The 22,012-nt window shown below is 54.3% G+C and overlaps 2 protein-coding genes across 6 annotated transcripts in view, besides 10 other annotated features; both read right to left on the reverse strand.

Moving 5' to 3' along the window:
* Nucleotides 2,903–3,490: an enhancer, noted in NCBI's record as "H3K27ac-H3K4me1 hESC enhancer chr7:1002516-1003103 (GRCh37/hg19 assembly coordinates)". NCBI's record gives its function as "activates a minimal SCP1, AML or CMV promoter by ChIP-STARR-seq in primed H9 embryonic stem cells {active_cell/tissue: H9 hESC(primed)}" and the evidence as "EXISTENCE:reporter gene assay evidence [ECO:0000049][PMID:30033119]".
* Nucleotides 4,513–4,622: an enhancer, noted in NCBI's record as "active region_25482". NCBI's record gives its function as "activates an Ori minimal core promoter by ATAC-STARR-seq in GM12878 lymphoblastoid cells {active_cell/tissue: GM12878}" and the evidence as "EXISTENCE:reporter gene assay evidence [ECO:0000049][PMID:35858748]".
* Nucleotides 4,875–15,572, reverse strand: COX19 (cytochrome c oxidase assembly factor COX19). Its single transcript, NM_001031617.3, has 3 exons — nucleotides 15,451–15,572; nucleotides 13,204–13,315; nucleotides 4,875–9,479 (listed from the first exon to the last, which is right to left on the reverse strand). Exons 1-3 carry the CDS (start codon nucleotides 15,530–15,532, stop codon nucleotides 9,401–9,403), a joined length of 273 nt encoding a protein of 90 aa, NP_001026788.1. The 5' UTR covers nucleotides 15,533–15,572; the 3' UTR covers nucleotides 4,875–9,400.
* Nucleotides 7,093–7,593: an enhancer, noted in NCBI's record as "H3K4me1 hESC enhancer chr7:1006706-1007206 (GRCh37/hg19 assembly coordinates)". NCBI's record gives its function as "activates a minimal SCP1, AML or CMV promoter by ChIP-STARR-seq in primed H9 embryonic stem cells {active_cell/tissue: H9 hESC(primed)}" and the evidence as "EXISTENCE:reporter gene assay evidence [ECO:0000049][PMID:30033119]".
* Nucleotides 7,594–8,094: an enhancer, noted in NCBI's record as "H3K4me1 hESC enhancer chr7:1007207-1007707 (GRCh37/hg19 assembly coordinates)". NCBI's record gives its function as "activates a minimal SCP1, AML or CMV promoter by ChIP-STARR-seq in primed H9 embryonic stem cells {active_cell/tissue: H9 hESC(primed)}" and the evidence as "EXISTENCE:reporter gene assay evidence [ECO:0000049][PMID:30033119]".
* Nucleotides 14,795–15,677: an enhancer, noted in NCBI's record as "NANOG-H3K27ac-H3K4me1 hESC enhancer chr7:1014408-1015290 (GRCh37/hg19 assembly coordinates)". NCBI's record gives its function as "activates a minimal SCP1, AML or CMV promoter by ChIP-STARR-seq in primed H9 embryonic stem cells {active_cell/tissue: H9 hESC(primed)}" and the evidence as "EXISTENCE:reporter gene assay evidence [ECO:0000049][PMID:30033119]".
* Nucleotides 14,795–15,746: a biological region, named in NCBI's record as "NANOG-H3K27ac-H3K4me1 hESC enhancer GRCh37_chr7:1014408-1015290".
* Nucleotides 14,977–15,046: an enhancer, noted in NCBI's record as "active region_25483". NCBI's record gives its function as "activates an Ori minimal core promoter by ATAC-STARR-seq in GM12878 lymphoblastoid cells {active_cell/tissue: GM12878}" and the evidence as "EXISTENCE:reporter gene assay evidence [ECO:0000049][PMID:35858748]".
* Nucleotides 15,287–15,446: a silencer, noted in NCBI's record as "silent region_17833". NCBI's record gives its function as "represses an Ori minimal core promoter by ATAC-STARR-seq in GM12878 lymphoblastoid cells {active_cell/tissue: GM12878}" and the evidence as "EXISTENCE:reporter gene assay evidence [ECO:0000049][PMID:35858748]".
* Nucleotides 15,467–15,746: a silencer, noted in NCBI's record as "silent region_17834". NCBI's record gives its function as "represses an Ori minimal core promoter by ATAC-STARR-seq in GM12878 lymphoblastoid cells {active_cell/tissue: GM12878}" and the evidence as "EXISTENCE:reporter gene assay evidence [ECO:0000049][PMID:35858748]".
* Nucleotides 15,678–16,558: an enhancer, noted in NCBI's record as "NANOG-H3K27ac-H3K4me1 hESC enhancer chr7:1015291-1016171 (GRCh37/hg19 assembly coordinates)". NCBI's record gives its function as "activates a minimal SCP1, AML or CMV promoter by ChIP-STARR-seq in primed H9 embryonic stem cells {active_cell/tissue: H9 hESC(primed)}" and the evidence as "EXISTENCE:reporter gene assay evidence [ECO:0000049][PMID:30033119]".
* Nucleotides 17,987–22,012, reverse strand: part of CHLSN (cholesin) — a 160,294-nt gene continuing 156,268 nt past the window's right edge. For 3 of the 5 annotated variants that reach the window (NR_156697.2, NM_001424326.1, NM_001424325.1), the window contains one exon: nucleotides 17,987–19,084. Coding sequence is in view for 3 of the 5 variants with exons in the window: in NM_001424326.1 (NP_001411255.1) it covers nucleotides 18,971–19,084 (114 nt within the window). In the remaining 2 variants the exon portion in view is untranslated. Of the gene's footprint in view, nucleotides 19,085–19,181; nucleotides 20,077–20,286; nucleotides 20,495–22,012 lie in introns of those variants that run through there. The other 2 variants (NR_188533.1, NM_001424327.1) reach the window with 2 other exon arrangements.

The following is a 22,012-nucleotide window of genomic DNA, read 5'->3' on the forward strand; positions in this document are numbered from 1 at the left end:
CTCTGTCACCCAGGCTGGAGTACAGTGGTGCAATCATAGCTCAGTGAAGCCTCAACTTCTTAGGCTCAAGCCAATTCTCCCTCCTGAGCCTCCCGAGTAGCTGGGAATACAGGTGTGCGCCACCATGCCCAGCTAAGTTTTGTGGGGTTTTTTGTATCTTGCTACGTTGCCCAGGCAGATCTTGAGCTCCTGGCTTCAGGTGATCCACCTGCCTCAGCCTCTCAAAGTGCTGGGATTACAGGCGTGAGCCGTCATGCCCAGCCAGCGTTACTCAGAACAGTCCCAAATGCAGACAGCCCACACGTCCACCAGCTGATGGGTGGATAAGCCAAGAGTGGTCTGTGCCCACCACAGAGTGCGACTCAGCCGTGAACACACCACGACACAGGCGAAGCTTGAACACACTGTGCGAAGTGACAGGAGCCAGGCACAGAGGAGCAGATGGCGGGTGCTGTGGGAACTGACAGGAGCCAGGCACAGAGGGTCGGATGGCGGGTGCTGTGGGAACTGACAGGAGCCAGGCACAGAGGGTCGGATGGCGGGTGCGGTCACACGCAGGACGTGCCGTTCACGTGAGCCCTGTGCATGCAAGTTCTCGTTCTGAAGGCCGTTTCTCTCGTGTTTAAATAAGAATCCAGCAGCTCTTCCTGCTTGGCTGCATGGGCTGAGCCCATGAGGCCGACTCTGCCCCAGAGTGTAGGGTCCAGCCCTCCGGGGCTTAGCGGGTGTTTTCCCCGTGTGCAGAGACAAGAAGAGATTGTAATAAATAAAGACACAAAACAAAGAGATGAAGAGAAAACAGCTGGGCCCGGGGGACCACTACCATCAAGACGCGGAGACCGGTAGTGGCCCCGAACGGCTGGGCGCGCTGATATTTACTGCATACAAGACAAGGGGGCAGGGTAAGGAGAGCGAATATTCTAAGTGATTGACAAGGTGAAGCAAGTTACGTGATCACAGGACAGGGGTCCCTTCCCTCTTAGGTAGCTGAAGCAGAGAGAGAAGGCAGCACATGTCAGTATTTTCTTCTCTGCACTTACAAGAAAGATCAAAGACTTTAAGACTTTCACTATTTCTTCTACCGCTATCTACTACGAACTTCAAAGAGGAACCAGGAGTACGGGAGGAACGTGAAAGCGGACAAGGAGTGTGACCACTGAAGCACCATAGGGAGGGGTTTAGGCCTCCGGATGACTGCGGGCAGGCCTGGAGAATATCCAGCCTTCCACAAGAAGCTGGTGGAGCAGAGTGTTCCCTGACTCCTCCAAGGAAAGGAGACTCCCTTCCGCAGTCTGCTAAGTAAAGGGTGCCTTCCCAGACACTGGCGTTACCGCTTCACCAAGGAGCCCTCAAGCGGCCCTTATGCGGGCGTGACAGAGGGCTCACCTCTTGCCTTCTAGGTCACTTCTCACAATGTCCCTTCAGCACCTGACGCTATGTCCGCCGGTTATTCCTAGGTTATGTTAGTAATACGACAAAGAGTAACATTAAAAGCTAATGATTAATAATGTTTATAATCATGATTGATAATTGTCCATGATCATCTGTATGTCTAATTTGTATTATGACTATTCTTATTCTAACTATCTTCTTTATTATACTGAAACAGTTTGTGCCTTCAGTCTCTTGCCTTGGCACAATCCTCCGCCCACACCAGAGTCCACTCCAGCCCTCAGTGCCCAGGTGGGCTGATACCATATGCCTTTAGCAGACAGGGAGACTGAGGCTGAGTCACCCATCTCATGGGGGCTTTTGCGGGAATGAGCCACAGGCCTGTCTGTGCCAGAGGCAGGCACGAGATAGCACCCTGCAGAATCAGGCTGGAGAAGCCCCAGAGCCTCACAGAGAGGGAGGCATGGACGCGCGTCAGGAAAGGCGGAGGCCATCTCAGACGGGGCTTGCCTTTCCCAAGGGGCCCTGACTGTGCCCCCCACCCTCACCATCCCCCTCTGTCCATCCGTCCATCATCTATCTGTGCGATCTGTCATCTGTGTCTATATGACCTGTCATCTCTGTTTATCCATCATCAAGCAGTCTCCCTGTCCTCTACCTCTGTCATCTGTTTATCTGCCATCTGAGAATCATCCGTCACCGCCATCATCTCTATCCACCATCTACACACCTATCCTCTCCCAGCGGTTCCCTCCCCTCCCTGACCCCTCCTCCCCACAGTGTGTTTAACACGTAACACTCCTCTCACTCCCACCTGCGATGTGGGCCGCGACCGTCCCGGCCCGTGCAGGACCACTGTGGGCGAGGGGCTGTGACCGTCCCGGCCCGTGAAGGATCAATGTGGGCGAGGGGCCGTGACCGTCACGGCCCGTGCAGGATCAATGTGGGCGAGGGGCCGTGACCGTCCCGGCCCATGCAGGATCAATGTGGGCAAGGGGCCGTGACCGTCCCGGCCCGTTCAGGACAGTGGCCTATAACCTCTGACATGGGGTCACAGGAGAATGCGGCTTCTGCCTTGCCCCTCGCCCCTGCCCCGCCTCCACATACACAGCTGGGCTCCCCTGCAGCCTCCACGCTGCAGAGGCCACGCGGACAGAGCCCAGGAACAGAGGTGCTGGGCCCAGCCCTGCCCGCCCAGGGGCTGGAACCCTCCCCTGGAGGGCAGAGCTCAGTGACTCCAGCCTCGTCACACCTGCGTGTGAACCACCCGGCTGAGCCCAGCTAGCCCCAGAGCCACAGGCGTGGGAGCCGGAAGATGCTGTGTGAGGCCCTGAGTTTGGGGTGGTCTGTGACACAGGGATTGGTATCTGCACTGGTGGCCTCAGAGAATCCCAGCCCCGCCAGCCCCACGTCCAGACCACTCCTCTCAAAGAGAGGCCTCGGTGAAGCAGGATCCCTACCCCAGTGGACGCCCATGAGGGCTGGTGCCTTCCCATGTCTGCCTTGAGAAGAGCTGGGACCCCAGGGAGGGTCTGTGGCTCTGCTGCCCAAAGGGCCCCTACCTGGACCATCCTCCCCCAGCCCCTATTGCAGCCCCCACCAGTGGGGAGACCCCTGCCCCGCCCAGGCTCTGGCTCAGCCCCTGCAGCCCCTCACTGAACCCCACACTTCATAGGCACCTGCCCTGTGCTGCCCTGATCTGGGCCACATCTGGGTCTCCAAATCCCCTGAAAACTGAGCTGGCAGGAGTGGTGGGGGGTGAGTGGGGGGCTGAGGGTGGTGGCAGGCAGGTGTCAGCGGGGGCAGGTGGTAGGAGGGGGCTGCCCAGTCAGGAAGGCCTGGGGCTTCAGGACACACGACCCTGGCCCTAGCCTGTGGCTCCTGGAGCACGGGCCTAACTGCACAAGCCACCGTCCCCGCCGCAGCCGACAGCTACGCACCTGGCTCTGCCTCTGCAGGTGGCCCTCAAGGGTGCTGTGGTGCTGCCGCCGTCCAGCAGGGGCCACCCCCACCACAGCGCTTCTGCTTCCTCCAAAGTCACGCAGCCCCTGCAGGCTAAGAGGGGTGGGCTCCCATCCCCCGCCCCAAAGCACCACGCTCTGCCCGGCCCTGTCTGGCAGGCGGCCCCGCAGACCAACCCCACTGCCCTCAGGGATGACCCCCACCCCCTGGCTCTTCAGAGTGGATGAGTAAGCCCCCAGCCTCCCCTCTGAGTGGGGACACCTGTCGAGGTGCACAGCCGTCCAGAGCCACGAGGGGACCAGACGGACCTGCTGCCGCCCCGGGCCAAGACTGAGCCACCCACACGCCTCACAACCAGGTGTGGGGACAGAAAAATGTCCCTGAAGATGTCTGCATCCTGGCCCCTGGGACCTGTGAACATGGTGCTTACATGGCAGATCGGGTTGTTTGGGACCAAGATGGGGATGGTCCAGGATTAGCAGGACCCGGTGCAGTTCCAAGGGTCCTGAGAGGGAGGCAGGAGGTCAGAGCCGGAGAGACAGGAGCACAGGGGCAGGGGTCGGAGGGATCGGAAGGGGCTGCACTGCTGGCTGGAGGTTGGACCAAGTCCCAGCCCTGACTGAGGTGCCTCGACTCCAGAGAAGGCAGGAAACGGTTCCCCCCAGAGCCCGCTGAGGCGGGAAACGGTTCCCCCCAGAGCCTGCCGAGGCGGGAAACGGTTCCCCCCCAGAGCCTGCCGAGGCGGGAAACGGTTCCCCCCAAGAGCCTGCCGAGGCGGGAAACGGTTCCCCCCCAGAGCCTGCCGAGGCGGGAAACGGTTCCCCCCAGAGCCTGCCGAGAGGACACAGCCCTGTTGGGCTGTTTGTAATTTGAGACAGGGTCTTGCTCTGTCTCCCAGGCTTAAGTGCAGTGGTGCCATCATTGTGCACTGCAGCCTCTATTTCCCAGGCTCAGGCGATCCTCCTGCCTCAGCCTCCTGAGTAGCTGGGACTACAGGTGCATGCCACCACACCAGGGTAAGTTAAAAACAATTTTTTTTTTTTTTTTGTAGAGACAGGGTTTCACTACGTTGCCAGGGCTGGTCTCAAACTCCTGGCCTCAGGCGATCCTCCCACCTTGGCCTCCCAAACTGCCGGGATGACAGGTGTGGGCCATCGTGTCTGGCCTGGGCCCCTTTTGGACTCTGCTCTGGAATAGTAATGCTTGCGGTGCTCTAAGCCGCTGGGCTTGCAGTAATCTGTTACTGTGGCCAGAGGAACCGATACAGGAAGCTTCAGGAAGTCAGTTTGCCTTGCTCCTGAGGCCTGGGTGGAACAGGTCCAGTGCTGAGCTCCGGCTACACGGCCTGTGCAAACGAGGCCCCACGCATCAGCCCTGGGGCTGCAGACCCGACCCTGGGGGGCTCTGGGCCTCCAGGTCAGACCTCCCCTCCTGGGAAGCCACACCGGGCCAGGCCTGCGACCACGCTACCTCCGGTTTACCTCATGCCCAAGGGGAACGCTTGGAAAACGCTCTGGAAATTGTCTTTGGGAGCCTTTTAATAATGTGGCCAGCTTATCATGACAAGCGTCTATGAGAAATAAAATGCATTCTGCACATGACAGATGATGAACTACCCGAAATATCTCGTGAGAAGCTCTGGCAGGAACAGCAGGGTGTCTGGATTCTTAAGCACAACACATTCAGCAGCCAGACCCAGAAACTCAAAGGCAGCGTTGGGAAGCCACTGCACGTTTGTAAGGAGTCAGGTTGTCCACACAATGGCGCTATTTTGGGATTCCGGCTTCTCTGCCTGTGACCTGCTGAAACCATTCATGCCGGCATCATGCCTATTGGAAACTCTTTGAAGTTATTTTGAAACGAGAATCGACTCAATCTATTCCACTATAGTTTCATACAAAGCATATTTTTTTTTCCTCATTTCAAAATAATTTCAGACTTCCAAAAAGTTCCAAAAATAGGACAGTGTGTATACCCAGTTCCCCAAATAACATCTTACATAACACTGGGCCAGCGCTGCCAGTCACTTCGCAGAAGGCTCCTCGGTTTGGGTCTGTGTCTGTTGTCTCCTTGGGATTACATTCAGGCCATGCAGTTGGGCAAGAGAACCAGAGGTGATACCGTGCCCTCAGGGACGCCCCCAGGTCGGTGCGGCCTGTGCGGCTCGCTCCCGGCGGTGGCTGCTGGGTTAAGGGGGCCTCTGCCGTTCTGCTGTGACATGACTGTCTCCTCGGAGGTCACTATGCATCTCAAGGGGAGGTTTCTCAAGACAGCAGACACCTGCTTCACACCACACGTCACCACTCACTTCATGGCAACTGAGGGTTTTTTTTTGAGACGGTTCTGTCGCCCAGGCTGGAGTGTGGTGGCACAATCCCTGCTCACTGCAACCTCTGCCTCCTGGTTTAGGCAATTCTCCCACCTCGGCCTCCCGAATAGCTGGATTACAGACACACGCCACCAGCCCCAGCTAATTTTTGTATTTTTAGTAGAGACAGGGTTTCTCCATGTTGGCCAGGCTGGCCTTGAACTCCTGGCCTCAAGTGATCTGCCTGCCTCGGCCTCCCAAAGTGTTGGGATTATAGGCGTGAGCCACTGGCGCCCGGCCCGCTGAGGGTTGTAATCTGCACCTGTCACCAGTGTGGTTTCTGCAACAGCAGTTTCCTGTTCCCAAAATTTCTTCTATATTAGAATTAATAAGACAGACCTGGCCCTCCCCCCACTGACATGTTTACGCAATTACTTATGTTGTATAGACTACTGGATATCAATTTATTCTGAGGGCTACAGCCCATTACAATAATTAATTTTCTTTCTTTTTTTTTTTTTTTTTTCCTTTGGTGAGACAGGGTCCGGCTCTGTTGCTCAGGCTGGAGAGCAGTGGTACAATCACAGCTCACTGCAGACTTAACCTCTGGCTCAAGTGATCCTCCTGCCTCAGCTTCCTGAGTATCTGGGACTACAGGCGGGTGACACCACGCACGGCTGACTTTTCTTGTTTTGTAGAGACAGGGTTTCACCCATGTTGCCCAGGCTGGTCTTGAACTCCTAGCCTCAAGTGATCCTCCCACCTTGGCCTCCTAAAGTGCTGGGATTGCAGGCGTGAGCCGCTGCGCCCAGCCTGTTTATTTTCACGCTCACACTGCCCCAGGCTGGCCACCGTATGCTCCTTCCCATCCCCCCGTGTTATTTCAACAAGTCTCCTCATCCCAGCAATTCTTCACTCTCTAGCTCATCTGATACCTTCTCTGGCCTGGCCCTGGTTCCTTTTGGTTACAGAATGGTATCAGGGCCAAGACCCTGAGTGCACGGGTCACTGCGTCCAGGCCCTCAAGAGCTGGGAAGCATTTGTGCACAGCCCCTCACAACAGTCCCCCTTACACACGGTTTCAGTTACCCATGGTCAGCCACAGTCCAAAAATACTAAGTGGAAAATTCCAGAAATAAACCATTCATGAGTTTTTGATTCTGTGCTGTTCTGAGCAGCCGTCCTGCTGGGACATCAACCCTCCCTCCGTCCAGCGTTTCGGGCCATCCACGCCACCCTGCCTGCCAGGCACTCAGCAGCCATCTCGGTGATCAGACCAGCCATCGCGGTGATGTGGTGCTTGGGTCCAAGAAGCTTTTATTTTACTTAAGAATGGCCCCAGAACAGGACAGTGGTGATGCTGGCGACTCAGACACACCAGAGAAGCTGCCAAGCGCTTCCTTTAAGGGAAAAGGTGGAAACTCCTGACCTATAAGAAAAACAGCCAGATGCCGAGGTTGCTAAGATCTCCGGTAAGAACACAGTGCCCATCTGTGACATTTTGAAGAGGGAAGCACGAAGTTCTGTCAGTTTTGCTGTCACATCTCAGACTTGATCACAGGTACGTACAGGAAAAAACAGCGCCTGGACAGGATTCGGGACTATCCGCGGCTTCGGCACCTGCTGGGGTCTCGGAGCACACCCTGGCCAGGTGAGGGCGATCACTCCGTTTCTCTATCCAGTTACCTTTGTACGTTAGAAAAGCAGGAGCTCAATACACCTGGCTCTCATCATCCACGATGTATTTCTAGTTTTTTCCATCTCAGAATACAGCTTCAGAATCGTCCACGCAAAAAACAAATTTACTACTTAGAGTACAGTATCTTTCCTGTCTTTCCCACCTTTGGTCGACGGTCTTCCCCACACTCCTGATGGGTCAGAGTGCGGTGCGAGCGGAGAGGCAGGCCCGACCCGGGCCTGGGCACTCCCGACGGCGGGTCAGAGTGCGATGGGAAGAGGCCCCGGCCTGGGCCCGGGAGCTCCGTCGGCATGGTCTGTTGTGTTCCCCTCACATCCTGGTTCATTTACTTTTTGAGCATGTGAAACCCTCTGCCATGACAGCCAGAACTCCACCCCCAGGGGTGCTCGGAGGGGCTCGCGGCCGGCTATGCCCATCAGTTCCAGCTCCTCCTTCTGGATTTCTCGTTTGTAGTTTCCTGTGTCCCTGCCTGTCTCCACTTCACAGTAAGCTCACGCCATATAGCCGCACTGCGTTGGCGAGCTCATGGCACGTGGCCACACCGCGTCAGCGCCGACTCCACGGTGGCTGCGTCACGGCTCACGTGCACTGTGAGGACACTGGGGTTGCTATAGACAGTGCTGGGGCAACCCTGTGCCTACACAAAATATTCTAATAAGAAACAAGACTTTCCATCAACTAGCGGTGATATGTTAATACGTCTGCAGCACTCAGAGGCCTGACAGAGAGCAGACACGGGACAGTGACAGCTGCAGCCGAATCAGGTGGTAGAACCCATGGGTGCAGGGACACAGGGTTGGGCGGGCCCAGCCGCAATAGGTACTCAGTTCTGTGAGGAGGGGAGGGACATGTTTAACCACGAAAGGGCCACCACTGCAGGACAGAAACAGAGGGCCTTTGCTGCAGAGAACTGGAGATGGGCTGAGAAGCCTCAGCCACCCACAGGCAGAGGGACGAGGGCAGCCTGTTTCCCAGAGCCTGAGGTCGGCCAGATTGGTGGCCCCACCTGCCAGGGCTTGGAGACAGCCACTGCCAGGGTCGCCAGAGAGGACGTGACCTGGACCTCCCCACCCCGTCTCCTGCCACCATCCTCCACTGACCAGACAGGAGCCAGCCCCTTTCCGACAGTGCCTGGGAAGGAGACAGGTCTGGCTGAGGCCCCAGATGTGCAGGCACCTGCGTTCCATCCACAGGTTTGGGCCCCGGCTGGCCTGACGCACTGGGTGGACATGGGCCGGGTTTCCGTGACCCACAGGCAACTTTGGCACAGACGGGCTGAGAACTCCGCTCAGGGCCCCTGCCAGGCTGTGCTGCGAACACGTGCCGGGGTCTCGGGCGGAGCTGGCTGGCACAGAAGACAGCTGGTGCGAGCCTAACTGCAAATGGACTCAGGTTCTTTTTCTGTTAAAATACAGGAGTTACTGAAATTAAATACCCAACTTTATAAATACGGTCTGATACAAACCAGAAAATGACCCTTTGATTATGAAGCTACTTGGTGTTCAGGCAAAACCAGAAAGAATCAAGAAGTCAATCCATCCAAAGCCAGAAGGTTCTCACTTCCTACTTTGTGTTCCACTTTTTTTTTTTTTCAAAGGAAATGAACTGGCATATACGAATACAAACACGAAAACATCCTGCTAGGGAATGGTAATTTTCTGATGATATCTGTGTTCAGAAGGGACTGAAATTTATACATTTACCTCTTTGAACTCAGAAAGTATCAGAGGACTGCAACATAAAACCGCCCCATACAAGAGGGCCCCGGCCTCGAAGACAAGGGTCTTGCCCCACGCTCGCCTCCCTCCCAGCTTTGCCGGGAACGCCGTCCCACTCAGGGGTTCAATGCAGAAACACCCTCCTAAGGGAAAACGGGACGCCACTCCCTACCCAGGAGACGCCCCCACAGGGCTGGAGCTTCTATTCGAAGCCCATTTCTAAGGACACCACACGCAGGCCTCAGCCAACCTAAGAGGCAGGATGATGCCCTCCGTCCTGAGAGACCACTGAACACGGCCCAGGGGTCTTCTCATCAAAATTCATTTTTTTGCCTCTGATTTTCCACTAGTCAAGTCTCCAAATCCCAGTTTCTCCAATGGTTCTTGTAGCATCAATTTTCTAAAAGAAAAAGAGAAAGCTGTCAGGGCGGGAGGTGCAGAGAGGACAAGAGGGGCCCTTGCAGGCCCCGGCTTCCCAGCGCACACCGGGGGTCCTGCCACCTCCATCTATGTCCTGGGAGAGTGGCCCCTCGGCCTCGGCCCCCGTGGCTGGTGCCTTCCCCACTGGGCAGAGTCAACAGGACAATGAGGACATGACCACCTAGAGACGTCCCAGGGCCTAAGGCCTGGGGCCTCTTGGGATGTCCAAGAGGGGCAGCTGCACCCGCTGCCCCCAGCACACAACACTTCCCCACGTCCTGCTAAAAGATGTATCTGGACAACAGCTTCACGCTGACCTCTCAGACTTGCTTTGATTGGCAGGATAATGACCCCTAAAGGTGTTCACGCCCTAATCCCTGGAACCTGTGCCTGCCACTGTCCACGGCACCCTGGCAGAGGAGACCTCAGGCTGCCATCCACCCAGATGGAACTGAGACTCAGGTCGACAGTTATCTGATATTTTTTTTTTTTTTTTTTTTTTTAAGAGACAGGGTCTCATTTTGTCTCCCATGCTGGGATGCAGTGGTGTGATCAGCGGTTCAAGTTCACTGCAGCCTTGAACTCCTGGGCTCAAGTGATCCTCCCGCCTCAGCCTCCTGGGTAGCTGAGACTGCAGGTGTATGCCACCATGCGTGGCTAATTTCTTTTTTTCTCCCAGAAACAGTCTCGCTCTATTGCCCAGGCTGGAGTGCAGTGGTGCAATCTCGGCTCACTGCAGCCTCCGCCTCCCAGGTCCAGGTGATTCTTGTGCCTCAGCCTCCTGAGTAGCTGGGAGTACAGGTGCACATCACCACGCCCGGCTAATTCTTGTAGTTTTAGTAGAGACGGTGTCTAACCATATGGGTCAGGCTGGTCTCGAACTCCTGACCTCATGTGATTACCCACCTTGGTCTCCAAAAGTGCTGGGATTACATGCATGAGCCACACTGCCCGGCCAGCTAATTTTTTTTTTTTTTTTTTTTTGAGACGGAGTCCTACTCTGTTGCCCAGGCTGGAGTGCAGCGGCATGATCTCGGCTCACTACAACCTCCACCTCCCGGGTTCAGGCAATTCTCCCTGCCTCAGCCTCCCAAGTAGCTGGGATTACAGGCGCCTGCCACCATGCCTGGCTAATTTTTATATTTTTAGTAGAGATGGGGTCTCACCATGCTCGTCTTGAACTCCTGACCTCAAGTGATCTGCCCACCTCAGCCTCCCAAAGTGTTGGAATTACGGGCGTGAGCCACTGCACCCAGCCAGCTAATTTTTAAAGAAATTTTTTGTAGATATAGGGTTTCACTATGTTGCCCAGGCTGGTCTTGAACTCCTGAGCTCAAGTGATTCTCCTGCTTGGCCTCCCAAAGTGCTGGGGCTACAGATGTGAGCCACCACTTCTTGCCAAAATAATTCCCAGCTGTTTATCGCAGTGCAGCCATCTTAGAGGCGTGAAATTCACGACTCAGCATGACTCTTTATGGGCCCCACACTCTTCAGGACAATAGTTACTATCATGTGAACTCACACATGGTGACATGCCCCCCGATCCTGCTGCGTGCTTTACAGGGATGGCCTCCTTTACCCTCCCCACAACCCAGCCAGGAGGCCCAGCCATCATCCCATGAGGCCCCCACACACTCTGTGCTGCTGGCAGCGGGTGAGGCTGCTCCACCAGCGTGTCTGTGTGACACCCGGTGCCTAAAACTAATCCCCAGGACAGGACGCGAACTTCTAAATCACTGCAGAGGCTTGAGATCTCAGACCACGGTGGTCATCTGAAACACACCTATATTTTCACATCAGGCAAACATGGTCCAAGTCCTCAAGAGACAACTTTAAAAACTCCATTGTGGTCCATTTTCTAAAACAGACACACACGGAGGTTGGAGTAAAGTAATGTCTAGGATTTTAGCACAGAAGGAAAAAGGAAGAAAAGAAATGGCTAAAAACAGGGTGGGTGCCGGTTATGGGAGGTAGACTCCTCAACTTCTGTATGTTTGATGATTTTCATGAACAAATAACCAATCGAAATTCTACGGTCAAAATAACTGACCTTATAGAAAGAGCAGAATTTTTAAAAAGAAAAAAAAAACAACAAAAACAAAAAACAACAAAAGCCTGGGCGTAGTGGCTCACGCCTGTAATCCCAGCACTTTGGGAGGCCGAGGTGGGCGGACCATGAGGTCAGGAGATCCAGACCATCCTGGCTAACACGGTGAAACCCCGTCTCTACTAAAAATACAAAAAATTAGCCGGGCAAGGTGGCAGGCGCCTGTAGTCCCAGCTACTCGGGAGGCTGAGGTGGGAGAATGGGGTGAACCCGGGAGGCGGAGCTTGCAGTGAGCTGAGATCATGCCACTGCGCTCCAGCCCAGGCGACAGAGTGAGACTCCGTCTCAAAAAAATAATAAAAATAAAAATAAAAAAACAATGAAATCAGAACACATGCCCTGAACATTTGCCTAAACATTGCCTGGCCAATCTGCGAGACCACCTGAGGCACTGGCCCTGGCTCCCTTCCTCCCAGCTGTCCTCGGGAGTCTCAAGGGGAAGCTGAGCATGAGGCAGGAGGCCTGCTCACACCCTCACATGAACACAGCTCAATTCACACCGTCTCTAAAGCTTGGCAGCGCCATGGAGAAATTCTCAGTTCCAGTTTTCTAAAGATGCATTAATTTAAGACTAATTTAAACACGTGGCTCCAGCCAGCGTGCTACTTAAACAATCAGAGATGGTAAGAGACAGATTCAGTGTGGCCCTTGGACAAATGTGAGCCCTGGAAGAGCCTAAGCGACAGCCCCAAAGGCAGAACGTGGCCTCACTGAAGTCCACACCGCTGAGAAGGCCCATCATCCTTACGGCCCCAAATGTCCACACGAATAACCCCGAACACACCTGTGTGGCCGGAAAGGCACAACGGATTTTTGCCTTGAGGGAAATGTCTGAGTATGTTATGGGAACATGAAAAGAGCTCAAAGTGGATGGGCGAATTGTCAACCTGTCTTCAGCACAGACACAGCTGTCTGAAGACCGAAATGCTTAGTGAGCTAATCATGGCCTCGAAAAGCAAAAATAAAAGCTCCCACTACCATCATATAATTATATGCTACATGCTTTTTTTTGCATAAGGGATTAGAATAGCTCTTATTTTAAGTAAAAGCTGTGGGGATCATAGCTACGAACGCGTTTGTTTTGTTTAAAAGTGAGCGTTGGTGAGTTCTGGTTACGACAGGAAGAATCATTCATCTTTCATCATTTCTTAAATAGTCTATTGTCCTCCCTGTCACATTCCCAACAACTCAAAGTGGAGCAAAACAACCCAGTGCATATTTTTAACATCTGAGAATGCAAAAGAAAGAAACTGTGTACCCACGACCTTCGGTCTTTTGACTCAGTCAGCATTATGATGCACGATTTGGAAACCTTAATGACAGGTCGGTAGCAACCAAATGTGGAAAGAAAATGCTCTCAGGAATGCAATCATGTATAACGCTATCGCTCAAGAAGAGGTTCCCAAGATTGTGAAACAGCTTTTGGTACAATTTCATCTGATAAGCCTCCATTTCAAGGGCAAACAATTCCACAGTCCTGAAAAACACAAGCTGAATCCCAGGCCTGAAAAAGACACACTGTAATGGCCTTTCAGGAAAAAAAAAGTTTTAATTGGAGTAGTGGGAGGTGGAAATCATAACGCTTAGCTGTACTCACCTCTCCATCCTGCATTCTAAATATTCTTTTGATTCCTTTCTGCACAAAGCATTTTCAAAATTATTGTTATGAAGACACTTCATGAATTTCTCTTTAAAGCTTTTACATTCACCTAGAACGAGAAAGAAAACAGCATGTTCTTTTCAGAGTGAAAAGTGATGCAACCACACAACAGCCTTAAGAGCTGCGCTGCTTTTCCTTTCAAAACTTGTTTCCTCAGGCCGGGCGCAGTGGTTCACACCTGTAATCCCAGCACTCTGAGAGGATCACCTGACCCCAGGAGTTTGAGACCAGCCTGGGCAACACAGTGAGACCCCCATCTCTACCAAAAAAAACCTTAAAAGTTAGCTAGGTGTGGCGCACGTCTGTGGTTCCAGCTACTCAGGAGGCTGAGGCAGGAAGATCGCTTGAGCAAAGGATTTCGAGGCTGCAGTGAGCTTGATCACACCACTGCACTCCAGCCTGGGCAACAGATCAAGACCTTGTCTCCTAAAAATAATCCAGGCTGGGCACGGTGGCTCACGCCTGTAATCCTAGCACTTTGGGAGGCAGAGGTGGGCGGATCACCTGAGGTCAGGAGTTCAAGACCAGCTCGGCCAACTTGGTGAAACCCCATCTCTATTAAAAATACAAAAATTAGCCGGGCATGGTGGCGGGTGTCTGTAGTCCCAGCTACTCGGGAGGCTGAGGCAGGAGAATTGCTTGAACCCAGGAAGCGGAGGTTGCAGCGAGTCGAGATCACACCACTGCACTCCAGCCTGGGTGACAGAGTGAGACTCCATTTCAAAAATAAATAAATAAATGATCCAGCCTGGTCAACATGGGGAAACTCCATCTTTAAAATAAAAAATAAAAAAACAATAATAATTAGCTGGGTGTGGTGTTGCACACCTATAGTCCCAGCTACTCTAGAGGCTGAGACAGGAGAATCGCTTGAACCCGGGAGGAGGAGGTTGCAGTGAGTCGAGATCACACCACTGCACTCCAGCCTGGGCGACACAGTGAGAGTCCATTTCAAAAATAAATAAATAAATAATCCAGCCTGGGCAACATGGGGAAACCCCATCTCTAAAAAAAAAAAAAAAAAAAAAATTAGCTGGGTGTGGCGCTGCACACCTATAGTCCCAGCTACTCTAGAGGATGAGACGGGAGACTCCCCTGAGTCCAGAAAGGAAGGAGGCCGAGGCTTCAGTGAGCTATGATTGCACCACTGCACTCCAGCCTAAGCAACAGAGTGAGACCGTGTCTCAAAACAAAAACAATCAAACCCAAACTTGTTTCCTTCATAAACATGCTGAAAACAACAATGGAAAAAACCCACAACGAGGTAAAGTCAGCCCAGTACGAGGTTAAGGTGCAATGTAGGTGATGGTCACAGGAGAGTTCAGGGTAAAAATTCTTTCATTTTTGCTATTTGAAAATGTCACAATAAAATGTTGGGAAAGAAACAGTAATTCACAGATCGTTTTTCTTTTCTTTTCTTTCTTTTTTTTTTTGAGACGTTGTCTCACTCTGTCGCCCAAGCTGCAGTGCAGTGGCCCGATCTCGGCTCACTGCAACCTCCGTCTCCCGGTTCAAGCGATTCTCCTGCCTCAGCCTCCCGAGTAGCTGGGACTACAGGCGAGCCACATCACACCCAACTAATTTTTGTATTTTTAGTAGAGACGGGGTTTCCCCATGTTGGGCAGGCTGGTCTCGAACTCCTGATCTTAAATGATCCGCCCACCTCGGCCTCCCAAAGGGCTGGGATCACAGGCATGAGCCACCGCGCCCGGCCCACAGATCCTTTTTCGAAGCCTTCATGTCCACGGAGGCAACCCCACCGGAATACGGCCAGAAGCACTGGGAGATCAGCAGCACTTTTGAGCTTTGCAGCAGACATCGCTAGGCACCGTCTAAGCCTCGGCTGCAGCTGCGGGCTTCGTGGCCGCCGAATGCCCCGCTCTGCAAACCCGGGGCACAGACAGCCCGCCGGGTGAGTCAGGGCGGAGCCGGAGACCCGGAAGCCTGACGCAAGGAGTCGGTGTCGCTGCCCTCGTCACGGGGGCCACGGTCCTGCCAGCTCCCACCTGCAGGGTCCATGCCGCAGCAGTGACCCAGGGCTGGGTGGGGCGGAGGGGCGGGCCGCCGTGCCTCAGTTTCCCCGCCTGCACCGCGCTAGATGCCGGCACCCCATAGGGCTCCGCGCTGGGCCGCGACCCAGACCCCCCATCGCAGACCCCTGCCCGCCGACCTTCCGCCGCTCACCTAAGTGATCCAGCGGGAAGCTGCCCTTGTCCGGGGGCCGCGGCTGGAAGCTCTTGGTCCCGAAATTCATGGCGGTCGACATGTTGGCGACTCCGGAGTCTGCGAGCGCCTTGCGAGCGTACGCAGGGCGGCCGGCGGAGCGCCGAGCAGGCACCCCGGGAGCGCCGAGCACGTCGAGCAGGCCCCGTCCCCGCCCCTTGCCCAGGCCCGGCCCCACCCCTTGCCCAGGCCCGGCCCCACCCCCTCGGAGTCAGCAAGCTCCTGAGCCCCGGTGGGCGCTGCCCGGGCTTTCCCGTCCCCTGGGACCCTCACAGCAGTCGGTAGCAGAATCAGCTTTTGGAATTGGTGAGAAACCGAGGCCCAGAAAGGTTCAGCGAATTGCCCGAGGACACATAGCGGTGCCGGCGTCTCTGCATCCCAGGTGTCTGCTGGGGCCTCGGTTTCCCCATCGCACAGAGACCTCATCACGGGGCCCATCCGGGGAGGAAGGCGGCACAGGAGGGACAGGAGAGCCTGTGGACTCGCTGCCTGCGGCTGCTGGAGCCAGGTGACACCACCGAGCAGCTTCAACAACAGGAATGTGCTCTCAGTCCTGGGGTCTGGAGTCCAAGCAGTGGGCAGAGTGGGGGCCCTGGGGACAGTCCCAGCCTCCCAGCTTCTGGGGGCCGCCAGCCTGTGAGGTTCCTTGGCTTGCAGAAGCACCACCTGGTCTCGGCCCCTACGTTCCCATGGTGTCCTGCGCATGTCCAAATTTACTATTTTTATTTATTTATTTGAGACAGGGTATTGCTCTGTTGCCCAGACTAGAGTGCAGTGGCATGATCACGACTCACTGCAGCCTCGACCTCCTGGGCTCAGCGATCCTCTCACCCCAGCCTCCTGAGTAGCTGCGACCACAGGCACACACCACCACACCAGGCTAATTTTTCTATTTTTCGTAGAGATGGAGTCTCCCTATGTTGCCCAGGCTGGTCCTTAACTCCTGGGCTCAGGCAATCCTCCTGCCTCAGCCTCCCTAAATGCCGGGATTATAGGCATGAGCCACCATGCCCAACCTAAATTTCCTCTTTTTATAAGGATAGCAGTCATGTTGGGTTAGGGGCCGTCCCAATAACTTCATCTTAACTAATTATATCAGCAGCAACCCTATTTCTTTGTTTTGTTTTTTAAAACGGAGTCTCTCTCTTGTTGCCCAGGCTGGAGTACAGTGGCTCGATCCTGGCTCATTGCAACCTCCACCTCCCAGGTTAAAGCAATTCTCCTGCCTCAGCCTCCCGAGTAGCTGGGATTACAGGCGCCACCAACACACCCAGCTAAGCTAATATATTTTTTTTCAACACAGAGTCTCACTTTGTAACCTAGACGGGCGTGCAGTGGTACGATCTCGGCTCACCGCAACCTCCACTTCCCGAGTTCAAGAGATTCTCCTGCCTCAGCCTCCAGAGTAGCTGGGATTACAGGCATGCGCCACCACACCCGGCTAATTTTTTGTACTTTTCGTAGAGACGGGGTTTCACCATGTTGCCCAGGCTGGTCTCGAACTCCTGACCTTAAGTGATCCGCCCACTTCAGCCTCCCAAAGGGCTGGGATGACAGGCGTGAGCCGCCGCACCTGGCACCTATTTCCAAAGCAAAGGTCACATCCTAAGGTCCTAGTGGCTTCACCATACGAATGGGGGTGGAGGGTAGTTACAGCTCAACCTAGGGCAGAATGAAAGTGTACTGTAAGCGGTAAGGCCCGGCCTTTGCGTGTCGATGTTGTCATGGCAACAGCAGTCGTGGGAAAGGGCTCAGTGAAGACCCCAGCGTCCACCCGCGGAGTCTCTCCCAGCCCTGAACCTGTACCCACATGCCCTGGCCATGAGGAAGTCGAACACTGGCCCGTTTAGAGCACCATGGGCGGCCCAAGCTCCAGCCTCCACTCACTCATCCATCCCACCCATTTCACAATCACTGGCCAGGCCTTCGTGGTAAGCACAGTGGGTCCCCAGCAACACCGAGTTCGCTGCCTGGCCCCCCGCTCTGGACCCTGGTGACACCTGAACCCACTGTTGCTTAGGAGCCAGTTCCTGCAACTTCCCAGGGGTTGTTTGCAGACAAGGGCTTGGTCAAGGCGGCCCAACAGCCCCCACCCCGGGGCCTGCCCTTCTTCAAGCCTGGCCCAGGCGTCCCCTCCCCATGAGGCTTCCAGCTCTCCCCCTTGCTGGGCCCTGGTGAGCCCGCCCCTCTGCAACGCACACCATTAGATTCCTGCGCCCAAGGTCGGACTCTGCTCTGTGTGCCCAGAGCTGAGCCGCGAGTCTGGCACTGAATGTTTCTGAACCGCAGGGCAGTGGGGACCTCAGGCCAAGGCCCCAAGGAGGGCCCAGGGCTGCAGAAATCTAGTTGTCAGGGCCTTGATTGGCCTGTGGCTCTGGGCCCACTGAAAACTACAAAAGGAAAATTGCAGCTTGTTCCTGTCATATAAACAACTCTTTTTACCCGGTTAGAACCAGGGGCCCACACACTGGGTTACTCATTAATACGTTTCCAGGGCTGTGAACAATGGGAGCTTTTATTACCCAGCAAAGAAGCGCTCACTCACTTGACTGCAGCAGCCGCTTAGCAGTGGAAGGACAGCCCCTCCGTTGGGGCTGCCCTAAGCCTCTCTGTCTGGGAGCCCCGAGGGACCTGTGGCCTGGAGGTGACAACCGGCTTTTAATTGACTGTCACCTGGCAAATGATTATTGCTTTATATGAGATCTTTAGCTGGGAGAGAAGAGGAAAGAATTTTTATGAGCAGTTCACCGGTGTAAAAAGTGGGGAAGGGGCTGGGGGCGGTGGCTCACACCTGTAATCCCAACACTCTGGGAAGCCGAGGTGGGCGGACCACTTGAGCCCAGGAGTTTGAGACCAGCCTTGGCAACATGCTGAAACCCTACGTCTATAAAAAATACAAAAATTAGCCAGGTGTAGGGGCGCACACCTGTGGTCCCAGCTACCCCAGAGGCTGAGGTGGGAGGATCGTCTGAGCCCTGGGAGGTCGAGGCTGCAGTGAACCAAGATCGCACCACTGCACTGCAGCCTGGGCAAAAAAGTGAGACCTTGTCTACAAGAAAAAAGGAAAAGCTCAGAGGAGGGAACGAACCTTGTTTGAGCCCCAGCAATCAAGGTATTGCAGGTATTTCCACCCGGATCCCCAGAGCCTGGAGCAGTGCCTGGCACGCTGGACATGCTCCGTTTATAGCTCGAAGATGAATGAATCCAGCTAAGTAGGTCTTATTATCCTCATCTGACACAGAGAAACAGACTCAAGGGGTCACAGCCCTTGCTGAAGCTTACGTGGCCGTGTTCGCGTTATCTGCCGCTGCATAACAAAGCACCCCAAGCTTAGCAGCAGTCATTACCCGTGAACTTGCACTTGCACTTGGGCAGGGCTTGGTGGAGACATTCCACGAGGCCTGGGCCGGGTTAGCTCCACTTCGGACTGGAGGATCCACTCACGATGGCACACGTGGCTGGCAGGCAGGTGGGCTCAGTGTCATGTGGAAGCCTGGCCACGGTTCCGTGGGCCTGGGTTCCCCTCCACATGGGCCCCTCTACGAGCTGCTGGGCTTCCCCACAGCATGGCGGCTGGGTCCACGGCACAGGTGTCCTGGGGAACCAAGAGGAAGCTGCATCACTGTTTGGGATCCAGCCTCCACTGTGACCACAAGTGCCCACCCAGATTCAAGGAGTCAACTAAAGGAAAATTTTGCTTTCGAAGAAGTAAAGTTAGTTTTATTCAGATTCCTATTGAGCATTGCAATCCGGGAGGGTGTTTCAGAGTTTCAGTTCGACTGCTCCAAAGCAATGTTTCGGGCCTCAGCTTATCAACGGGTGGCGGAGGCTCTGCACCTGCTCAGGGGGTACCTTAGAGCCAAATGCGATCGTCAAAGTTTCGGTGCAAGAGTCCATCTCGTCATAGATTACAGCCACTGATCCTGTCAGACGTTATCTTATGTGCAGGAGGAGACAAGGGCTAGGATCGTTGACCTTATCTTTTTAAAAAACGCAGTGATTTGGCCGGGTGTGGTGGCTCACACCTATAATCCCAGCACTTTGGGTGGCCACGGTGGGCGGATCATCTGAGGTTAGGAGTTCAAGACCAGCCTGGCCAACATGGTGAAACCCCGTCTCTACTAAAAATACAAAAATTAGCCGGGCGTGGTGGTGAGTGCCTGTAGTCCCAGCTACTCGGGAGGCTGAGGCAGGAGAATCGCTTGAACCTGGGAGGCGGAGGTTGCAGTGAACTCCAGCCTGGGCAACAGAGAGGGAAACTCCGTCTCAAAAAAAAAAAAATGCAGGGATTCAAGCAAGAGCCGTGGGCACCTGCGCCATGCCTGCTCAGTCTCTGGGACATTCTTCCAGGGGGCGCGCCCAGTCACTGAGGCAGGGCGCACACTTTTTTCCGCACAGTTGCAAGGATGCCTTAAACTAAATTTCTGGAAACCGGGTCACTGAGCCAAGGGACAGTTCCTTTTTGATGTCTGGTGGATCTCTAGTACACTGCAAAAGCGTCCCGTGAAACTCCACTGGTGGAATGAGCAAACACGGCTTCTGGCCTCTGCTACTTTGTGTCACAAAGGGGGAAGACCACAAGCCCTCCTGTGGAGGGAGAAGCGCAGTGTTACGTTACGCAAAGACAGTGTGGTTGGGAGAATCTGTGCGGCCATCTCTGGAAGCCGCCATCTGCCACAGCCGACAGGTGCGGGCCTGAGTTTGGAACCAGGTCTGTCTGACTCCAGCCCCTCCGGGGGAGCCCACCTACCCACCCACCTCACCCACCCTGCCTCTGATGTCAGGGGCAGGCAGGACCTGAGCCAGCCAATCACAGCACTGCATTCCTCCTGGTCACAGAGATGGCTCAGGCCTGAGTATCTGTCTGGCAGGCCTGGACCAATCAGGTCTGATCAGAACAGTCCCAAGTTCCACTTGAGCAGCCAGGCTGCAGTTGGCACACGTCTCTGCAGGGCGCTGGAGGTCCACCGGACATCAGAAAGCAACAATGCCTTGGCTCAGCCACCTGGTTTCTAGGAATTTATTTTAAGATATCCTTGCAACTGTGCCCATCCTTGCAAGTATGCACACAGATATTTTTATCAGGATGTTCTGTGACAGCCTAAGATTGGAAACAATGTAAATATGCAAATATGCACACCCGGCCATGCCCCCCAGAGCAAGCAACACGTACAGGCAGCCGTTAGAGGAGTACTGTTAATTCCCCAGTAACAGTTACTTTTTTTTTTTTTTTTTTTTTGAGATGGAGTCTCACTCTGTTGCCCAGGCTGGAGTGCAGTGGTGCCATCTCAGCTCACTGCAAGCTCCGCCTCCCGGGTTCACGCCATTCTCCTGCCTCAGCCTCCTGAGTAGCTGGGACTACAGGCGCCCGCTATCACGCCCGGCTAATTTTTTGTATTTTTAGTAGAGATGGGGTTTTGCCGTGTTAGCCAGGATGGTCTCGATCTCCATCTCCTGACCTCGTGATCCGCCCACCTCAGCCTCCCAAAGTGCTGGGATTACAGGCATAAGCCACTGCGCCTGGCCAACGAGTTACTTTTAAAAGAGGGCTGGGCACTGTGGCTCACGCCTGTAATCCCAGTGCTTTGGGAGGCCAAGGCAGGTGGATCACTTGAGGTCAGGAGCTCGAGATCAGCCTGGCCAACATGGCAAAACCCCATCTCTACTAAAAATACAAAAATTAGCTGAGTGTGGTTGCATATGCCTGTAATCCCAGCTACCCGGGAGGCTGAGGCAGGAGGATCACTTGAACACGGGCGATGGAGGTTGCAGTGAGCCAAGATCATGCCACTGCACTCTAGCCTGGATGACGAGAGTGAGACTCCATCTCAAAAAAAAAAAAAAAGAAAAGAAAAGAAAAAGAGGCCGGCCCGGCATTGGCTCATGCTAGTAATCCCAGCGCTTTTGGAGGCGGCCACAGTAGGATCGCTTGAGCCCAGGAGGAGTTGAAGACCAGCCTCTAGACTCCGTCTCTAAAAGAAACTTACAAAATTCCCAGCACTTTGGGAGGCCGAGGCGGGCGGATCATGATGAGGTCAAGAGATCGAGACTGTCCTGGCCAACATGGTGAAACCCCGTCTCTACTAAAGATACAAAAAGTAGCCAGGTGTGGTGGCATGTGCCTGTAATCCCAGCTACTCGGGAGGCTGAGGCAGGAGAATCGCTCCAACCCGGGAGGCGGAGGTTGCAGTGAGCCGAGATCACGCCATTGTAGTCCAGCCTGGCAACAGAGTGAGATTCCGTCTCAAAAACAACAAAAACCCAAAACTTAAAAAATTAGGCCAGGTGCAGTGGCTTACACCTGCAATCCCAACACTTTGGGAGGTCGAGGCAGGAGGATTGCTTGAACCCAGGAGTGTGAGACCAGCCTGAGCAACGTAGCAGGACCTCCATTTCTACATAAATAAATAAATAAAGTTAGCTAGGCTGGGTGGTGCATGCCTGTAGTCCCAGCTATTTGGGAGGCTGAGGTGGGAGGATGGCTTGAGCCCCGGAGGTGGAGGCTGCAGTGAGCCTGTACTCA

The sequence above is a fragment of the Homo sapiens genome, chromosome 7, assembly GCF_000001405.40.
Source record: "Homo sapiens chromosome 7, GRCh38.p14 Primary Assembly".
Taxonomy (NCBI): domain Eukaryota; kingdom Metazoa; phylum Chordata; class Mammalia; order Primates; family Hominidae; genus Homo; species Homo sapiens.

What these genes read in the sequence shown, in the direction of transcription:
- COX19 (NM_001031617.3), bottom strand. Translation starts at nt 15,532, where the DNA reads ATGTCGACCGCCATGAATTTCGGGACCAAGAGCTTCCAGCCGCGGCCC. An exon ending in CTTCCCGCTGGATCACTTAG is followed by an intron (nt 13,316 to 15,450) that starts GTGAGCGGCGGA and finishes TTCTCGTTCTAG; the next exon opens with GTGAATGTAAAAGCTTTAAA. An exon ending in TTAGAATGCAGGATGGAGAG is followed by an intron (nt 9,480 to 13,203) that starts GTGAGTACAGCT and finishes TTTTTCTTTTAG; the next exon opens with AAAATTGATGCTACAAGAAC.